Raw genomic sequence first — 21,927 nt, 5'->3', positions numbered from 1 at the left:
TTTTAGCTCAAACATTAGGCAACATCATTACAAGCACAATTAAAGCCAGCAACAAGCTGCCAAAACAATTGAAAAATTGCCATTACTGGAGAGATGCAAGACTCCACCAGGGGACACCAGACAAGGACAGCCCAAGGATAATGAAATCAGGCCGTCGAGGGCTGGGGAGATCAGGTGACCACATAGCCACATGGATATCAGTCACACACTCTCCACAAATCTAGACTCTAAAAATGTTCACTTTGAAATCGTTATCCCAAACTAAATCCGTCTTCCTCGAAGTATAAAGAAAGAATATCCCTACTGTGGAGTCATGCCTTGCATGTATAATGCTAGTGATTTCTTTAAAATTATGGATGTATCAATGGAGTCAGATGTCTACAACCTCTAAAAGTCAAATTTTAGGAAAAGCAATCACAATAATTAGAAATATGGTCATCTGAAAACTTCCCACTGGTATTTTTCTTTGCGATGGTAAGTGGAACAAACTACAAACTACAATAGTCATTTTCGCAGATTTCAAGTTTCATCAAAAGACTATTCCTTGAATAGCCTGTTAGAGGTAAGTGTTAAACATTCTGTTTTGATCACACAGAAATCTTTCCTTTGTGACACTGTAATATCAAATGAAAACAGCAGGTTATAAAGAATCACAATCCCATTGATATAAAATTATCAATCACGTAGAGATATCTGAAGAACGATCATCTAATATCCATAGTGGAAATATCTGGGTAGTGGGAGTTTGGATAGTTTTACTTTCAACCGTATGGTTTTTTGTGTGATTTTTCAATCAAAATAAAACTACAAAGCTCAGGACCCAGACTGCTGGATTCAATTTTCAGCTTTACACCTTATTAGCTCTGCGACATTGTGCAAGTTACTTAATGTCTCTGTCTCAGTGACCTCACCTGCAAATGGGAATAACGACAGTTTCAACCTCAAAGTGCTTTTGCGAGGAGGGCTGAATGCATCAGTACACACAGGCACTCAGAACAGTACATGGAACACAGCAAGTCATCAGGGAACGTCCGCCAGCAGGAGAAGCAGAAGCATCGCTGACATTAAGCCAGCGATTCGCAAAATTGACTTATTGTGTTCATTAAAGGCAGCTGCAAAAGCAACTATTTCATAGCCAGAGGTAAAAAGAGAATCAAGAAACTCTCTCTGTTTAAGTTTACATAACAATACAAACAAAAAACCAGCAGATCAACTACAAGTAATACACACGTATATCAAGAAGTGAGGTCTCTAAGTAGACATTTTTCCTTGAATGGGTCACCTCATTTGAGGACTAGGCAGGCACAGCTGATGGAGTTAAAGAGGTGCCCCAGGCAGCTGCTTCCCGTGCACAGAAGTCTGTGTTCTCAATTTAGCAGAAAAATAGAAGACTTTCTAATGAGGTTAGCATTTGTAGGCCAGAATATTCATCCTAATTTATTTCTTAAAACTGTTTAAAATGTATTTTTAAGAAAATGTGTTTTATTTAAATATTTAATATAACTTTAATTAATATTTACTTTAGCATTCTGAAGGTCTTTTAAAGCATGTATTCTAAAGCAGAATTCATAAAAGACAGGATTATTGATTTAACCCTAAAAAACAAGTTTGACCATTAGAAACCTAAAATAGAAATTAAAATATAAATAACAAATGGAGACATTATGTATAATTTAATGTTAAGAGATTCTTACAAATTACTCAAGAAAAAAGTGGGTAAAGCTATAATCATTCAATTATTAAGATCAGAAATGAAATAGCTAAAAAATACGAAAGAAGTTTAAAGTCATTAGAAAGCAAATATATATTTTTAAAGGATTATTTTTTCTTTCTCATTTTAATATAATACTTAATTTGGGTAAAAGTGAAAGTACATAACAGTGAAACACTGGGTCCAAATAACAGGTGGATTTTACAGTATGTATCAGAGACTCTGAACTAGCAATTCCACATCTACAATTTTAGATTAAGATTAGGTGCATATTTTAGCTATATTTTAGCATGCTTCTTTTAGCTTTATTTTATTATTATTTTTAAAATTTCAGTAGGTTTTTGGGGAATGGGTGGTGTTTGCTTACAAGAGTAAATTCTCTAGTGGTCATTTCTGAGATTTTGGTGCACCCATCACCCAAGCAGTGTACACTGTACCCAGTGTGTAGTTTTTATTGCTCACCCCCACTCCCACCCTTTCCTGCAAGTCACCGAAGTCCATTGTATCATTCTTATGCCACTGTGTCCTCATAGCTTAGCTCCCACTTATGAATGATAACATACGATGTTTAGTATGTTACTTCATTTAGAATAATGGTCTCCAATTGCATCCAGTTTGCTGGAATGTCATTATTTAGTTCCTTTTTATGGCTGAGTAGTATTCAGTAGTATTGTATGGTGTATATATATACCACATTTTCTTTATCCACTCATTGATTCATGGGCATTTGGGCTGGTTCCATATTTTTACAACTGCAAATTGTGCTGCAATAAACATGCGTGTGCAAGTATCTTTTCTGTGTAATGACTTCCTCTGGGTTGATACGCAGGAGTGGGGTTGCTGAATCAAATGGTAGATCTACTTTTAGTTCTTTAAGGAATCTCCATACTGTTTTCCACAGTGGTTATACTAGTTTACAATCCCATCAAGAGTGTAAAACTGTTCCCTTTTCACCACATCCACGCCAACATCTATTATATTTTGATTTTTTGATTATAGTCGTTCTTGCAAGAGTAAGGCCGTATCATATTGTGGTTTTGATTTTCATTTCCCTGATAATTAGTGATGTTGAGCATTTTTTCATGATCATTGGCCATTTGTATAAATTCTTCTGAGAAGTGTCTATTCATGTCCTTATACCACATTTTGATGGGATTGTTTGTTTTGTTCTTGCTGATTTTGTTGAGTTCCATGTAGATCTGGATATTAGTCCTTTGTCAGATGTATGGATTGTGAAGATTTTCTCCCACTCTGTGGATTGTCTGTTTACTCTGCAGATTGTTTCTTTTGCTGTGCAGAAGCTTTTTAGTTTAATTAAGTCTATTTATCTTTTTCTTTGTTGCATTTGCTTTTGGGTTTTTGGTCATGATTCCTTTGCCTAAGTCAATGTCTTGAAGGGCTTCTCCAATGTTATCTTCTAGAATTTTATGGCTTCAGGTCTTAGATTTAAGTCTTTGATCCATCTTGCATTGATTTTTGTATAGGGTGAGAGATGAGAATCCAGTTTCATTCTCCTACATGTGGATTGCCAATTATCCCAGCACCATTTGTTGAATAGGATGTCCATTTCCCACTTTATGTTTTTGTTTGTTTTGTCAAAGATCAGTTGACTGTAAGTATTTGGCTTATTTGTGGGTTCTTTATTCTGTTCCATTGGTCTACATGCCTATTTTTATACCAGTACCATGCTGTTTTGATGACTATGCCCTTATAGTATAGTTTGAGGTCGGGTAATGTGATGCCTCCAGATTTGTTCTTTTTGCTTAGTCTTGCTTTGGCTATGGAGGCTCTTTTTTGGTTCCATATGAATTTTAGGATTGTTTTTTTCTAGTTCTGTGAAGAATGATGGTAGTTGCTTTTTTTGTTTTTTGTTTTTTTGTTTTTTGTTTTTTTGAGACAGACTCTCTCTCTGTCACCCAGGCTGGAGTGCAGTAGCATGATCTCAGCTCACTGCAACCTCCGCCTCCCGGGTTCAAGTGATTCTTCTGCCTCAGCCTCCCAAGTAGTTGGGACTACAGGTATGTGCCACCACGCCTGACTAATTTTTGTATTTTTAGTAGAGACAAGGTTTTACCATATTGGCCAGGCTGGTCTCGAACTCCTGACCTCATGATCCACTCATCTCAGCCTCCCAAAGTGCTGGGATTGCAGGCATGAGCCACGGTGCCCAGCCTGAATGAAATGATGGTGTTATTTTGATGGGAATTGCATTGAATTTGTAGATTGCTTTTGGCAGTATGGTCATTTTCACAATATTGATTCTACCCATCCATGAGCATAGGATGTGTTTCCATTTGTTTGTGTCTATGTCTATGATTTCTTTCAGCAGTGTTTTTAAAATGTTTTAATCTACAAATATGGGAACTTTTGTTTTAAAAGGGAATTTAGGTAAAATGAAAATTATATAAATTACCACTTGATTAGTTAGGAGATGATAATGAAAATTATAGATTATCCTGAATCCTGGATTCTTCCTTTTAGAAAGACAATAAACAGATCAATAATTGAATTAAGGCCCCAAATGGTAGCTCACACCTGTAATTCCAGCACTTTGGAAGGCCAAGGCAGGAGGACTGCTTGAGCCCAGGAGTTCAAGACCAGCCTGGGCAACATAGCAAGACCTCGTCTCTACAAAAAAAATTTAAAAATTACCCCAGAGTGGTGGTGAGCACCTGTGGTCCCTGCTACTCGGGAGGCTGAGGTGAGCTGTGATTGCACCACTGCACTCCAGCCTGGGTGACAGAGCAAGACCCTGTCTCAAAATAAAGTGAATTAAATAATATATTGGAAGATGATAATAACTGTGGAGAAAAATGAAGCAGGAAGTGAGTGGAGTAGGGCAAGAAAATGAGGTGGTGACATTTTAAACAAGGAGGTAGAGAAGGTGACATTTGAGTTTGGATCAGACAAGGGAAAATTCTACCAATTTTACTCCATAGTCATCAACTCTGATAATTTCAATCAAGCTAACAGCTCTTGGCTAAGACAAGGTATTGGTTATCTCTGCTTGGCTATCTGGCTATCCGTTTCAACTTTTTTTTTTTTTGAGCTGGAGTCTCACTCTGTCGCCCAGGCTGCAGTGCAGTGGCATGATCTCGGCTCACTGCAACCTCCGCCTCCTGGGTTCACGCCATTCTCCTGCCTCAGCCTCCCGAGTAGCTGGGACTACAGATGCCCACCACCACACCTGGCTAATTTTTTGTATTTTTAGTAGAGACAGGGTTTCACTGTGTTAGCCAGGATGGTCTCAATTTCCTGACCTCATGATCCGCCCGCCTCGGCCTCCCAAAGTGTTGGGATTACAGGCGTGAGCCACCGCGTCCGGCCTCAACTTTTATATTATGACTGACACCTGCAATCCCAGCACTTCGGGAGGCCAAGGTGGGAGGATTACTTGAGGCCAGGAGTTCAAGACCAGCTTGGGCAACATAGCGAGACCCCAGGCTCTACAAAAGAAAAAAAAAAAATCAGCCAGGTGCAGTGGCTTGTGCCTGTAGTCCCAGCTACTCAGGAAGCTGAGGCAGGAGGGTCTCTTGAGCCCAGGAGGTCAAGGGTGCAGTGAGCCATAATTGTGCCACTGCACTCCAGCCTGGGAGACACAGCAAGACACAGCAACTTTTATAATATACGCTCTAGTTATTATGCAAGTATCCAGCAATAGACACTGTGCTAGTATTCGTCATTTCCCTTTTTTGAATCTAAAGGCATGACCTTCTAAAATATATAGTCTTCTCCATAAGTATTTTCAGCAAATACAGAGAATTAGGAGTAAAAGAGAAGTCATCCACTGTTTTGATAACCCAGCATCCATTTACCCACTTTTCCAGTAAGAGACCTCAGATTTTCCTTGGGGCGCTAAGCCTACCTGACTTCCTGAACCAACATGGTTCAGGTGGGGCTGACACCAGCCCTTGCCTCTAGGGGTCAGTGTACTGCCAGATCCCACCAGTAGGGGCACCAAACCCCCAAGAACAAGGTACCACCTGAAGTTCAGGAGTGGGCATGGGGCCTAAGGCAGGCCAGTGAGAACTCAGAGGCACTAAGATGTATGTTCCCACTTGCAGAAGAGGTGCATGCTCAGCCAGTAGTTGCTAAAAAGGCTGAAGGTAGGTGTAGAGATGCTTTTGGGGCCATGGTTACCACCCTTGAGGTAAGGAGGGAGGGTGAGTCTGCCTAAAAATGAACCAAATCGAGAGTGCAACCACAACTGCACTAAATGGAAAGAAACAGAAATAAGAGAGATGGGCTCCTCTCACAACACATTTGGGGACCTGAACTCAGCCCCGCCTCACCCTAGGTACCCACTTAGACTTTTCACATAGCTAATGAGTACATTTTCTTTTTGCTTACATCATTTCAAGCTAGGTTTCTGTCACCTGCAACCAAGAGTCTTGTCTAATGCAAACAAACCTTCAGAAACTGATCTTATTTTCACTGGATCTTGTTTTCACCAAAAAACAGCATATACTCACCCGTTCCTGACCAGCAGTGTCCCAGATGAGGAACTTGTGAAGTTCATTTCCACAAGGCACAGTTTTGGTCATAAAAGATGCCCTGAAAAAAGAGAGTCAGCATCTCCACATTACTGCATTGTTTCTTCACAAAGATTCACAAATCAAACAAGTTAAATGCTACACCTCAGCAGGACCCCAAAAAGCCCTGGTCCTTGGGAACCACTAAGACGAGAAAAGGGCTAGAAGACTCATGACACCCAAAATAAAATATTTCTCATTTTCTGTTAGTTCAACTGGGGGTTTTGAAACAAAACAAAACAAAACAAAGGAGGCATTCAAAAGACTGTTTCTGGCCAGGCGCGGTGGTTCATGCCGTAATCCCGGCACTTTGGGAGGCCAAGGTGAGCAGATTACAAGGTCAGGAGTTCAAGACCAGCCTGGCCAATATGGTGAAACCCTGTCTCTACTAAAAATACAAAAAATTAGCCAGGCCTGGTGGCGGCGTGGTGGCAGGCACCTGCGGTCCCAGCTACTTGGGAGGCTAAGGCAGGAGAATTGCTTGAAACCAGGAGGCAGAGGTTGCAGTGAGCCAAGATGGCACCATGGTACTCCAGCCCAGGTGACAGTATGAGACTTCATCTCAAAAAATATGTATATGATAATAAAATAAAATAAAAATAAAACAAAAATTAGCCGGGCATGGTGGCGGGTGCCTGTAGTCCCAGCTACTTGGGAGGCTGCGGCAGGAGAATCACTTGAACCCGGGAGGCAGAGGCTGCAGTGAGCCAAAATCGCACCACTGCACTCTAGCCTGAGTGACAGAGCAAGACTCCGTCTCAAAAAAAAAAAAAAAAAAAAAAAAAAAGACTGTGTTTCTAAAACCAGTTAGCTTCAATTATTAAAATACCCCCAGATCTCAGGAAAGAATACAACCTTGGATTTTAAAAACTTATTACAATAATTAAGAGTGAAAATAGCAGCTGGTATGTTGGCATGTAATGTTTTTGGTCTTACAATGGCATAAAGAAAAAGTTGTCTTACATATTTACTATGCTAATATGAAACCAACACTAGTAGCAACTAATAGAATACTACATCTAAGTCCCAACCTGCTTGCATAAATGCAAGGACGATGATTGGCAGCTTAACACATACTTATGTTTTCTCTATAAAAAAGGAAGGATTTTTTTTCCTCCCTTCTAAGTCCAAAAAGAAAGGATTTTAAAGCCTCAGTAGATCATTAAACACTTACTATTTTCTTTTTTGCATATTTCCTTTTAAAAAGCATTTTCTTTGTGCTCATGAACAGTATAAAAATACCAGGAATGTTCAATAGCCTTGACTTTTATGACAGAAAGTTTTCTATTCATTAAAAAATAGCAAGCATCCCCAGTAGTGGGACAACCTGGTATGAGAGCCTCCTGAAGTGATGGAATAAGAAGTAGATACATCACCTATATAGCATTCTGGCCACAAATGTTTAGTCTGAATTTAATTGTAAGAAAACAATGAGGCAAATGTAGAATGTGAAACATTCTGTAAGACAAGCTGGCCTGAATGCTTCAAATAAGTCAATGTCATGAGAAGCAAACCAGAAAAATACAGGGAGATTATTCTAGAATCTAGATTGAGAGGAAAGAGATAAAACAACAAAATGCAATATATGAACCTTGGCTGGATCCCAGATTAGGGGGAAAACAGCTTTAAAATATATTTGGTCAGGTGTGGTGGCTCTTTTTTCTGTAATCCTAGCCCTTTGGGAAGCTGAAGCAGGAGGATGGCTTGAGGCCAGGGTTTCGAGACCAGCTTGGGCAACAGAGCAAGACTCCTTCTTTACAAAAAAAAAAATTTTTTTTTTTAAATCAGCTGAGCATTATGGCACAGCCTGTAGTTCTGGCAGCTCAGAAGACTGAGGCAGAAGGACAGCTTGAACCCAGGAGTCTGAGGCTGGTAGTGAAGCGCCAAGATTGCCCCAGTGCACTGCAGTCTAGGTGACAGAGCGAGACCCTGTACCCCCTACCCCCACAAAAAGATATTTTAAGAACAACTTTAAAATTTTAAATTCACACTATATGCAAGATATTATCACTGATTCAAATTAATTTTGTAGGTATGATCATGGTGTCCTCATTATGTTCTTATTAGGAGATGGACCCTGGGGTTTTCGGGGTAAAGAGTCAGGGGTTCTTCACCTTACTTTCATATAGTCCAGCCTGGTCAACTAGCATTCATCATAGTAATATTTCCTCAGCCTCTAAATCTTCTAAGAATAAGAGGCCAACTACCGAAGTCCCAAGTAGAAAAGTCTACTGCAATTCCCACACTATCCCCACAAAAACCAAAGGCTAATAATAGTTAGAGAGTTCTAATTACCAACCTACAATTGCAATAAATGAAAATTCTAAGTATTCTAAGTGACAAATCCAGTAGTATCAAAACCACATCTATTCCTTTATTTCTTTAAAAGTGTTTAAAATGTATATCCAGACTACCGGGGAGACCTAATATATTCCAAAAATGTTAATGTCTTTATTACTTTTCCCATTTTAAAAGCAACATATGTATTTCATAAAAAAAATTCAAAAAACCAGAAAGAAAATAAAAACCAATCATATTTCACCACCCAGCCATAGTCACTGCTAATAAATTGGTATATGTCCTTCCCAATTATTTTTATATGACTTTTAAAATGGGATTATTCATTCAGTTCTTTGTTTCCTTTTATTTTTAGCCGGTACACAATAATTATGCATCTTATGGGATACAGAGTGATATGTACATACATGTATGCAATGTGTAATGATCAAATCAGGGTAATTGGCATATTCATCACCTTGAACATTTATCATTTCTTGGTGTTGTGAACACCCAAAATCCTCTCTTCAAGCTTTTCGAAAATATACACTAAATTATTGTTAGCCTTATTCATCCTACAGTGCTACAGAACACTAGAATATTTTCCTCCCGTCTAGCTATAACTTTGTAACTGTTAACCAAGCTCTCCCTATCCTTCCCTCCCCCAACCCTTCCCAGCTTCTAATAACTACAATTCTACTCTACTTCTATGAGCTCTTTTTTTTCAGCTCTTGCATATGAGTGAGAACATGTAGTATTTATCCTTCTGTGTCTGGATTATTTCACTTAACGAAATGTCCTCCAGGTTCATCCATGTTGCCATGAATGACAGGATTTCATTCTTTTTTATGGCTGAATAGTATTCCAGTGTGTATATATACCACATTTTCTTTATCCATTAATTCATTTTTGCTTTGTTTTGTTTTTTTGAGATGGGGTCTTACTCTGCCAACCAGGCTGGAGTGCAGTGGCACAGTCTCAGCTCACTGCAACCTCTATATCCCAGGTTCATGCGATTCTCCTGCCCCAGCCTCCCAAGTAGCTGGGATTACAGGCATGTGCCACCATGCCCAGCTAATTTTTGTAATTTACTTTAGTAGAGATGGGGTTTCACCATGTTGGCCAGGCTGGTCTCAAACTCCTGACCTCAGGTGATCCACCCTCCTTGGCCTCCCAAAGTGCTGGGATTACAGGTGTGAGCCACCACGCCAGCCTCCATTCATTTGTTGATGGATGATGGACACTTGGGTTGATTTCATAGCTTGGCTGTTGTGGATAGTGCAGCAATAAATCTGTGAGTGCAGGTATCCCTTTGATATAGTGATTCACTCTCCTTTGCATAAATACCCAGTAGTAGAACTGCTGGATTGTATGGCAGTTCTATTTTTAGCTTTGTTGAGAAACCTCCATACTGTCTTCCATAATGTCTGTACTAATGTACACAGTGCTTAATTTACCAACAGAATACAAGAATTCCCTTTTCTCTTCACCCTTGCCAGCACTTGTTATTTTTTGTATTTTTGATGATAGCCATTCTAACTGGAGAGAGATGATATCTTCCTGTGGTTTTTAATTTGCATTTCCCTGATGATAGTGATGTTGAGCATTTTTCCACAAACTTGTTGGCCATCTGTATGTCTTCTTTTTAGAGATGTCTACTCAGATTCCTTGCCCAATTTAAATCATTTTATTTGGGTTTTCTTTGCTGTTGAGTTGTTTGAGTTGCTTGTATATTCTGGATTTTCGTCCCTTTTATTTCAAAGTTCAAGTTGAAAGTCATAAATAGTAAAGTAGCCTTTTCAAGAATCTTCAAATAATTGAATAAAATATTTCATAACCTGAAGTTAACTGGCCACTGCCCAACATCCTGGTACCTTTGATAGATATCATGTCATGAGTTTTAACATATTTTGACTTGTAATTGTTCTGCAGTATGAAATGTCGAAAGTTAATCTTGGAGAACTAAAGACTGAGTCATTCCTCATCTGACTCCTCTGATGGTCTACAGTTTCGATCTTTGGGCGACAGCCTCAGCAGGCACATTACATTTCTGTGGTTTCATCAAAAATGCTTATTTCGATGTCTTGTGAGTGTGAAATGTGGATAAAGCCTCTCCTACATACATTACGGTTCTATGATTTTTCTTTAGTATGGACTCTCTGATGTCAATTAATGCTTGAACTCACGATGAAGGGTTTGCCATAATCATTGCATTTGTAAGGATTCTCCCAAGAACGAATTATTGGATGTTGTGGGAGAAGTGAATTGTGCATGAAGACCTTGCCACACTCATTTCATTTGGAAGGCTTCTCTCCAGTATGGACCACCTGATGGTAAGTGCTGACTGCACACTGAAGGCTTTGCCACACTCATTACACTTGTAAGGGTCTTCTCCAGTGTGAATTCTCCAATGTCTTGCAAGTTGTGAATTGTGACCGAAAACCTTGTCACATTCATTACATTTGTAGAGTTTCTCTCCAGTATAAACTCTCTCCAATGATGTGCAAGGTTTTATTTTTGACTAATAACCCTGCTACATAAATCACATTTATGTCATTTCTCTCTGGGATGGATTATCTAATATACAGCATAGAGTGAGTCATGATTAAAGGTTTTGCCACACTCATTTCATTTGTAAGGTTTTTCCCTAATGTGTGCTTTCTGTTCTTGTGTAAGGAAGAATAGATTAAGTAAGTCCCATACTTGTTAGAAATATGGATTTGGGCTTAGAAGGAATTCTTTGGGGTGGTGAAACTGAGGAACCATTGCTGACAGACTTTTCAACTTGACGACATTCATAAATTTTCCCTTTAGCTTGAAATAGCTGTAGTTCAGGCAGATATGACTGAAAGCTTAATCCAAGCTGATTTTTAATAGGCTTGTTGCCTGCATCCCTTCTATCATGTTGGTCTCTTCTAACAGTGAGATTTTTTTTGAGGCACTCTTGTAACTGCTTTCATCACTTCTCCACTGAGACTCAAAGTAGTTTCTATTTTTCTGGATTTCCCTGAAGCAAGTCTTCAACGTCATGGCTTCACGTCTTTCCAATGACACTGTGTGGAATATTTCTCCTGTATTACTTTTCTCTTTGGCAGATAATTCCTTGATTGCATATACAGGAAAGATATCCCTCCGAGAGAAGGAAGCAGAGTTGCCAGAAGCCAGATGTGTAGGAGATAACTCTCTAGAACCATGTTTTTCCTCTGTTCTCACACCACAACCATCAACACAGAAGAGAACCTCTATGACCAAATCTGTGGGGGGTTCTCCCACCACCAGCAGCAGATACCAGCTAGGTGTCCTCCAATTCAATTCTGACACTCTCTCCCTGGAGATACTGTCAGATCCCACAGGTTGAGGGCTCAGTACCCAAGAGTGCTCCTCCACAGACACCAGTCCCAAGTCCGGGCCTCTAGAACTTCTGATCGACAGGCTTCAGGTTGGGGTTCCCACCAACCCCTCTTTGAGTTTGATTAATTTGCTACAGCGGCTTACAGAAACCAAGGAAACACTTACTTATAGTGACCAGTTTCTCATAAAGGATACTGCAAAGCATACAGATGAAGAGACGCTTAGGGCAAGGTAAGCAGACAGGGGCACAGAGCTGCCATGCCCTCCCTGGGCGCCACTTTCCAGGAAACTCAGCTCTCCAGAAGTGCCCTGAACACTTTTCTTTTAAGTTTTTATGGAGGCTTCATTACATAGGCATTCTCTTTTCTTTCTTTCCTTTTCTTTTCTTTCCTTCTTTCTTTCTTTCTTTCCTTTCCTTTTTTTGACAGAGGCTTCATTACATAGGCATTCTCTTTTCTTTCTCTTCTCTGTTACTCTCTTTCTCTTTCTCTCTTTCTTTCTCAGAGTCTGACTCTGTCGCCCACGCTAGAGTGCAGTCGCATGATCTCAGCTCACTGCAACTGGGTTCAAGCGATTCTCCTGCCTCAGCCTCCTGAGTAGCTGGGATTACAGGGATGCACCACCACACCTGGCTAATTTTTGTAATTTTAGTAGAGAAGGGGTTTCACCACGTTGGTCAGGCTGGCCTCAAACCCCTGACTTCAGATGATCCACCCACCTCGGCCTCCCAAAGTGATGGGATTACAGGCGTGAGCCACTGTGCCCGACCTACACAGGCATTCTTAACAATCTTGTAAAAATGTGATTGGACAAAAAGTGCATGATCAAAACCCAGCAAGGCCTGTGTGTTCAGGTTCTTCTTGGCCTCTCTGAGTAGCATCCTTCCTCTAGAAGATGGGGCAGGACTCTCTCTGGAATGACCTGCGATCAGATTAGAGTCCTGCCTTGGGCAGGTAAAAGGAGGACAGGAGAAGGTCAGATAGTGATTCTGTTTTCTGAGGCCTAAAGTGCCCCAAGATTATAACAAGGGTTTGGGAGTTAGGAGCCAGGAACTGTAAGTGAAAACCTATATATATGCAAATATGACATATATATCATGACACCCTACCAGATGAAAGCTGTCCACCATGATAAGATCTTTGCATGTGTTTCTGTTTGAGCTGCAGCACCAGTCTGATCACACCTTTGATACGTTCTCACTCTTTTGGCTTTCTTGCTATTTTCACTTGACTCTCCACTGTCCAGTGGTCTTTCCCTTGCTCCACCAAGAAGATAATACTCAGGTTAGGAAGAGAATTTCCTGCCATGGAGACCAGGTTCCTGTAGCTCTCCAACATCAGGTCCCTGTATAGAGGATGCTGTGCAGGGTCCAAGCATTCCCACTCATCCTCAAAGAATTTTATAGCCACATCCCTGAAAGTCCAGCATCCCTGAGTAAGAGCTGTTCTCGACTCTTTTTCTTTCCTCTTCCTCCTCTTCCAGGCTTCTTCCCAAGTAACATCGGTCTTTATGTCAATCACACTGCAGTGTGACCACCCCTTGTGATCTGCTTCCGAGTTTGCAGGACGCTCTATTTTAACATAACTTTTGCTCTGAAAATTGATCATACTCTATCTAAATTTTGCTTTTCCTCAACTTTATATATCCTGGAAATCTTTCCTTTTCTATGAATATAGATCAATATCATCTAAAATTGGCTGGGCGCAGTGGCTCACACCTGTAATCCCAGCACTTTGGGAGGTTGATGGGGGAGGATCACTTGAGGTCAGGAGTTCGAAACCAGCCTGGCCAACATGGCAAAACCACGTCTCTACTATAAATACAAAAATTAGCCAGGTGTGGTGGTGTGTGCCTGTAATCCCAGCTACGTCGGGGACTGAGGCAGGAGAATCACTTGAGCCTAGGAGTCAGAGGTTGCTGTGAGCTGAGATCACACCACTATACTCCAGCCTGGGTGACAGAGCAAGACTCTGTCTCAAAAAAAAAAAAAAATCACCTAAAATCTTTCCATTTCTATGAATATACATCAATATCATCTAAAATGACTGAAGATCATACATCATGTTATGGAATTATTCAATACCCTAACGATGGACATTTTGGTTATCTATTGTTCACTATTACGACAATGATTCAGTGAATATCCTTATAATTACATCTTTGTGTCCCTGTACAACTATATCCTTAGACTTAATTTTTAAAAAGTAGAGCCGAGCATGGTGGCTGACACCTGTAATCCCAGCACTTTGGGAGGCCAAGGTGGCAGGATCACTTGAGGCCAGGAGTTCAAGACCAGCCTTGGCAACATAGCAAGACCCCTGGCTCTACAAAAGAAAAAAAAAAATCAGCCAGGCACAGTGGCTTTTGCATGTAGTCCCAGCTACTCAGGAAGCTGATGCAGGAGGATCCCTTGAGCCCAGGAGGTCAAGGGTACAGTGAGCCATGATTGTGCCACTGCACTCCAGCTTGGGTGACACAGCAATGCTCTGTCTCTAAAAATATATAAATGTATAAAAATACATAAATAAGCAAATAAAACAAAAATAGATACACTCCACTTTTGCTACATGTGCCAAACTTAGTTGGTACCAACCTACATGTCCATAATGGTGTATGAGATGGCCTTTTCCTCACCATTATTAATCTTTCAAATCTCTTTCAATGTGTTAGGTAGAAAATATCTTATTCTTATATTCATTATGCTTATCACAAGCTTAAACATCATTTTAACATTTATTGTTCGCTTGCATTTTTCTTTGTAAAGGAATTTTTCTCAAGTTCATGACCTTGGCCCACCTTTCAACTGTGGTATTCATCCTTTTCTTATTCATTTTTTGACTATTTTCCACTAAACTTTTGTAGTAGTACATTTTAAATAATATTTTTCCAGTTTAACATTTGCCCTTTAACTTTGTTCTAGATTTTTTCCATAAACTCATTTAAAAATTTTATTAGACAACTCTATCAAAATTTTGTTTTTGTTTTCACTTTTGATGTTAGTCAGATTTTCATTTATTCTTCAGTATATTCTAGGTGCTGCGATAAATAATACAGCAACCCTACTACCCTTAAAAAGTTCTCCTCAGGGTTAGAAAACAAAGTTCATGCCTTTAAAATCTTGGAAAAAATATAAAATATCCAGTCCAACCCCTCCACAGTGCAGGTAAGGGGGGGGAACCAAAATCCCAGAAGACTGCCTGGTTCCTGGTGAAAGAAGAGTGCAGTGGCCTAACCAGGAAGAGGAAGCAGAGGCCCTCACTGCCAGACTCAATGAACCAGCCCGTAAAGCCCTTTGGTTTCCTGTTCTGTGAAATGGGGCCAATACCTACTCTGCATTGAATAGAAGGTGTTTGTAGGGACATATAGGGAAATGGATACCTGCGAAATTCCCCTTGGTTCACAGTGAGCTGTGAGGAGCAACTTTAGTAATAGTAGGAAGGCACACCTCACACACACACATATCCCTCTGTGTTCCTGATCTCTCGCCACTAGGAGAAAGACTCTCAGTATTTGAAATGAGGACCACGACAATCATTGCTTTTTTTTGTTGACTGAGATTTGTTGTTGGTTTTTAAGTCTTTGCTAGCTTTTGATCTTAAGAACCTCATCCAGCCTAGGCAACAACACAGTGAGACCTCATCTCCACAAAAATAAAAAGATTTAATTAAAAACAAAAATTTAAAAACAGCCAGGTGTGGTGGCTCACACCTGTGGTCCCAGCTATTCAGGAGGCTAAGGTGGGAGGATCACTTGAGCCTGGGAGGTGGAGGCTGCAGTGAGCCATGATTGCGTCACTGCACTCCAGCCTGGGTGACAGAGCAAGATCCTGTCTCAAACAAATAAACAAATAAGAACCTCAGGCATCTTTTCTTCTGTGTAGATTACCCTCCAAACTGGTGGAGGAGGCGCACTGGCCCTGATAAACTGACTTCATTATCTGTGGAAACCAAAATCTGGCAGAGAAGTTACACAATTTCCTTACAAAAGTTGAAATAAAAAGGGAGACACACACATACACACACACTCAAGATGTTAATGCAATCTGCTTGAATAGCAGAGCCAAGGTTTTTCAGTGTGAGTCAGAGAGGCCATAAGAGTTAACTCTTTTAATGCTGAAGCAATGGCATTTTACAGCCCATGGCATTGTACCAATGGTCGTGTGATTCCAGTGGGAAGAACAAGGGTGGGCTTTGAGAGTGGACTCACTGGTGTGAGCCATGAGTGGGCTGCTCACGGGCTGTGTGCACCTAGGCAAGTCCCCTAACCGCCCTGGGCCTGGGGGTGGCCAGCAGGGTTACCGCCAAGAAGGCAGTGCCAGGGCCAGGAACTGAAATGTCTAGGGACCAGGCAGGACATATAAATGAGTGAAGCAGGCTAGGTGTGAACGTTTATACTGATGAACATAATAGTAACAATACCTAGCGGGAATGGCATGAAGCCGGGAGGCCTGGCCACCCATGCGGAGTGGCACCGGCTGGCTCCCACCACATGGGAATGGGCACCAGGGCTCCAAACCCACTGATTTTTCAAGAGAAACCAGGAATGCAAGTTTATTACGTGCCAGTCTCCTGATTCTCTATTGGCTTAAAGTCTTTACAGCACTGTGAAGGCTGAACAAAACAAATATATTAATATAAGCCAGTTCCTCAGCCCACCGAACCTACCAGCTTTTGGGAAAGCACTCAAACGTTTTAAAAGTGTTCCATTTATGCCACCTTCCAGGAAAACTGCATGTGTCACTTAGAAAGTGTTCCCACTAGCTTTATTTTTCTGCAACTGGTGTTTGAAAACATTTTCTCAAAATTCCAGAGGGAAAATTTTCATCAATTTTTAAATCAAGAAGTTAAATTATATCAAGAAGACAATACATAAGGGTGGAGGGGCTGAGCCTAACATTGACTCCAGAGGAAAAGCAAGGGACGAGGTAGAAAGCGAACAGGGCTGGGCGCGGTGGCTCACGCCTGTAAACTCCTTTGGGAGGCCAAGGCGGGCAGATCAGCTGAGGTAAGGAGCTCGAGACCAGCCTGGCCAACATGGTGAAACCCTGTCTCTACTAAAAATACATCAGCCAGGCGTGGAGGCGAGTGCCTGTAATCCCAGCTACTTGGGAGGCTGAGGCATGAGAATTGCTTGAACCTGGGAGGTAAAGGTTGCAGTGAGCCAAGATCGCGTCACTGTGCTCCAGCATGGGCAACAGAGAAGACTCTGTCTCAAATAAAAAAAAAGAAAAAAGAACAGCACACAATACCATGCTGCCATCATGTAAAATTGTTTTAACAAAGAAACATTAAGCTACGAGAAAATGCGAACATTTGAAGTTAGAGGAAAAGAATAGAATTCAAAATCATACAAACTTTTACAATTTTATAAAGTTAAAAATTGTACAAAAAAAAATACCTAAAGCTGGTACAGAGATAACCTTTCCGAAAAACAATTTGGTAATATCCATTGAGAGCCTTAAATAGATTTTTATTCTTGGACTAAATTATTCCATTGCTAAGAGTTTAACCTAAAGAAATAATCAGCAGTATACATGGGTATCTATGCCCAACGAGGTACATCATAACATTATTTATTTATGTTTTGTTTTGTTCTGTTTTGTTTTGTTTTTTGAGACAAGAGTCTCACTCTGTCTGTCACCCAGGCTAGAGTGCAGTGGCACAATCTCGTCTCACTGCAACCTTTGCCTCCCGGGTTCGAGCGATTCTCCTACCTCAGCCTCCCAAGGTAGCTGGGATTACAGGCGTGCACCACCATGCCTGGCTAATTTTGCATTTTTAGTAGAGATGGGGTTTCACCATGTTGGCCAGGCTGGTCTTGAACTCCCGACTTCAGGTGATCCATTTGCCTTGGCCTCCCAAAGTGCTGGGATTACAGGCGTGAGCCACCGTGTCTAGCCTCATAACATTATTTATAAAAGTACAAAAGTGTTTAAACAACCTAAATGCCTGAAGTGAAAAATACAACCATTAAAAATTGTTTTTAAAGACTATTTAATGGCATGAAATTCACAAAATGATGTTGAATAAATAACGCATACACACACTTATACAAGAAAAGGGCTGGAAGAAAATAACAAAATGTTTACAGTAATTACCTCTAAGAGGTAGATTATGGGTTTTTAAAATATTTTTCCTCATGTTTTTTTCATTTTCAGTTGTTTATGATGAGTATATAATACTTTTATAATCAGAAAAAATACTTTCAACATGTTTTTGAAGATTATGTGACACTGTAAAAAATGTTCAAAATATATTAAGTAGAAAACACAGAGTAAAAAAAAACTGTATGTACACTAAGATTCCTAGTTTCATGAATTCTGTGTTCTTTGGGTTTTTTTTAGAGTGAACATGAACTTTTTTTTTTTTTTTTGGAACAGTATTTCACTCTGTTGCCCTGGCTGGAGTAGAGTGGCACAATCATGGCTCACTGCAGCCTCAACCTCCAGGTCTCAGGTGATCCTCCTACCTCAGCCTCCCAAGTAGCTAGGACTCCAGGCACATGCCACTACACCCAGTTAATTTTTGTATTTTTTTGTAGAGACCAAGTTTCGCCCTGTTGCCCAGGCTAGTCTCAAACTCCTGGGCTCAAATGTTCCACCTGCCTCAGCCTCCCACAGTGCTGGGATTATAGGCAGGAGCCACCACGCCCAGTCGAACATGAACTTTTATAATCAAAACAATTAGACTTTAATCTTGTCTGTGTCACAATTAAAGTTGAGTCACCTGTGTAAGCCCTATTGCACAACTGCCTGCTTCTATTGAGGTCCCTTTGGTTGCAAGACTCGGAAACCCAACCAGCTTGGCTTAAGCCCAAAGGAGGGGTGAGGTAAGGGTTGTGACCTTCAGCAAACACAAATACAGGATGCCAGTTCAATTTGAATTTCAGATAAAGAACTAATAAATTTTTAGTATACACATGTCCCAAATATTGCACGGGGCATACTTGTATTATACCCTAATTGCAGCCTGCAACTTAATAACAAGTTAACAGTCATCACTTGGCAGCCTGACTCAGTTTCCCAGAGGCTGGCAACCAGCAGTGAAAAAGAATAAGGAGGACCTAAGTGGACTGGGAATGTATGTTGTGGCTTGTTAGGTAAAGTGTGATACGTTTTCATTTTTAGCTTGTATACCTGCATGTCCACAGAAAGTACTTATAAGAAATATGTTTAACATGCACTTTGGACTCTAAATATTGGTTATGTAAATTGAAGAATACGGGATTGAAGAGCTAGCAAAATCCTCTGACTTCACTTTTTATTTTATATATTTCTACATAGTATAAATTTTTTCATAATTTTAAAAACTAAGACATAATTTTTAAACTAATAACAGTTTTTTAGAGCACTTTTAGTTTACAGGAAAAACTGAGAAGAAAGTGCAGAGAGTTTCCATAGACCGTTGACCCTTGAACATGGGTTTGAATGTCATGGGCCCACTTCTAATTCGATCCCTTCTGCCTCTCCCACGCTCAAGACAGCAAAACCAACCCCTCCTCTTCCTGCTCCTCCTCAGCCTACTCAATGTGAAGACAATGAGGATGAAGACCTTTATGATGGTCCATTTCCACTTAATGAATAGTAAATATATTTTCGCTTCCTTATGATTTTCTTAGTAATATTTTCTTTTATCTAGCTTACTTTATTGTAAGAATACAGTATATAATACACATCACTTACAAAATATTTGTGAATTGACTATGTTCTCCATAAGGCTTCAGGTCAATGGTCAGGTATTAGCAGGTAAATTCTGAGGGAGTCAAAAGTTATATGTGTGGCTGGGCACAGTGGCTCACGCCTATAATCCCAGCACTTTGGGAGGCCAAGGGGGGTGGATCACCTGAGGTCAGGAGTTCAAGACCAGCCTGGCCAACATGGTGAAACCCCGTTCCTACTAAAAATACAAAAATTAGCTGGGCATGGTGGCGTGCAACTGTAATCCCAGCTACTTGGGAGGCTGAGGCAGGAGAATCGCTTGAACTCAGGAGGCGGAGGTTGCAGTGAGCTGAGACCTTGCCACTGCACTCCAGCCTAGGTGACAGAGCAAGACTTTTGAGCCAAGTACCGTCTCAAAAAAACAAAAAGTTATAGGTGGTTTTTCAACCACTCGGGGCTCAGCACCCTTAATCCCCGAGTTGTTCAAGGGTCAATTGTAATACATAAGTTTTTTAAAACTCCAAACCACCGAAATGCATTTACTAGACAAAACACTGTCAACTGTGTTTGTTTCCAAAATGGTAGCAGCAATCCATCCCCGACCCTCCCTCCATGCACACACGGCTCCTGCCACCACAAGGCAGCCTGTGTCTCCCCCTTTAATCTGGGCTGGCACAGCAACTTTCTTTGACCAAGAGATTGTGACCAAAATTACGTAACTACCCTATTTACGATGCCTATACCTATGCTTAACACTTACGCTTGTCATTTTTATGTACTGCCCATAATTTGTGGTATGAGTATGCACTGTCTTTTTACTTTAAAAAAGGTCATTACAGGCCGGGTGCAGTGGCTCACGCCTGTAATCCCAGCACTTTGGGAGGCTGAGGTGGGCAGATCACAAGGTCAAGAGATTGAGACCATCCTGGCCAACATGGTGAAACCCCATCTCTATTAAAAGTATAAAAATTAGCTGGGCATGGTGGCGGGCACCTGTAATCCCAGCTACTCAGGAGGCTGAGGCAGGAGAATCGCTTGAACCCGGGAGGCGGAGGTTGCAGTGAGCCAAGATCACACCATTGCACTCTAGCATGGGCGACAGAGCAAGACGCCGTCTCAAAAAAAAAAAAAAAAAAGGTCATTACAAAAAGATTTTATTTTAAAAAAATTTTTAAACAAAAGTTTAGAAAGTAGAAGGCACAAATCTCTCCTCCATCTTCTGGAACCATACTTCACAGTTAATCACTCTTATCAGTTCTGCTTTTTATTATTAAAACACATACACACACACACAAAGTGAAAAATAAGAGAGAGAGAGAAAAAAGTACATTCAGAGCAGAGTGAAACCAATTTCTTCCATAAAAAGTATACCTATCATACAAGCGCGCCTATGTTGGGAGACAATTCTTTATGGTCTCTCACAACGTGCACATCTTGCAAGTAAACACTTTTTTCCGGATTGTGTTTTCAAGGATGCTTGTACATGTTGAGTATCCCTTATCCAAAATGTTTGGTACCAGAATTATTTTGAATTTTGGATTTATTTATTTATCTATTTACTTATTTGAGATGAAGTCTCGCTCTGTTGCCCAGGCTGGAGTGCAGTGATACAATCTCAGCTCACTGCAACCACCACCTTCTCTTGCCTCAGCCTTCCGAGTAGCTGGGACTATAGGCGCGTGCCACCACATCTGGTTAATTTTTGTATTTTTAGTAGAGAGGGGTTTCACCGTGTTGGCCAGGCTGGTCTTGAACTCCTGACCTCATGTGATCTGCCCACCTAGGCCTCCCAAAGAGCTAGAATTACAGGCGTGAACCACCGCTTCCGGTGGATATATATTTTTTTAAATTTTGCAATAATTGCATTATACTTACCCAGTTGAGCATCCCAAAGCTGAAATTCCAAAATCTGAAATATCCCAATGAGCATTTTGAGTATTACCTTTGAGCGTCATGTTGGCACTCAAAAGTTTCAGATTTGGGAGCATTCTGGATTTCAGGTTTTTGGATTAGGGATGCTCAACCTGCACAGCAAGCATCCTTGGAGGGGAGAGTCTCTCTCTGTAGCTGAGGACAGATGTGCTCACTGCCCCATGTAGAAGACTTGCGTTCCCTCAGCTTGGGGTTCCGCTCCCGTAACACAGCCCCCTGCATGTGAGGTGTCTGACTCTAATGTCACCCTATTTTGTGAATACTCTGGCTATTGCTATTGCCTCTGTCTGTGACTCGGGGGTCTTCTGTCTTCTGCCAGCATCCCTGAAACTGAGTCAGGCTAACAAGTCACAACTGCTAACTTGTTAACAAGTTGCAGGCTGCAATTAGGGTAAAATCTCAGACCTTTCCTAATTCTTGATATTTTCATGAGTATGTTTCTTTAAGTCATTTTTAATCTACAAAAT

At 40.7% G+C, this 21,927-nt stretch overlaps 1 protein-coding gene and 1 pseudogene across 1 annotated transcript in view; both read right to left on the bottom strand.

Annotated features, from left to right (window-relative positions):
• The window catches only part of RAB31 (RAB31, member RAS oncogene family), a 154,251-nt gene that overhangs the window by 64,133 nt on the left and 68,191 nt on the right, over window positions 1–21,927 (bottom strand). Inside the window, exon 3 of the mRNA NM_006868.4 lies at window positions 6,184–6,265. Coding sequence (NP_006859.2) covers window positions 6,184–6,265 — 82 coding nt within the window. The remainder of the gene's footprint in view (window positions 1–6,183; window positions 6,266–21,927) is intronic.
• Window positions 10,553–13,292, bottom strand: ZNF415P1 (zinc finger protein 415 pseudogene 1; annotated as a pseudogene).

Source organism: Homo sapiens, chromosome 18 (assembly GCF_000001405.40).
Source record: "Homo sapiens chromosome 18, GRCh38.p14 Primary Assembly".
NCBI lineage: Eukaryota > Metazoa > Chordata > Mammalia > Primates > Hominidae > Homo > Homo sapiens.
The sequence above is the reverse complement of the archived record's forward strand: the minus strand, read 5'-3'. Positions and strand labels throughout refer to the sequence as shown.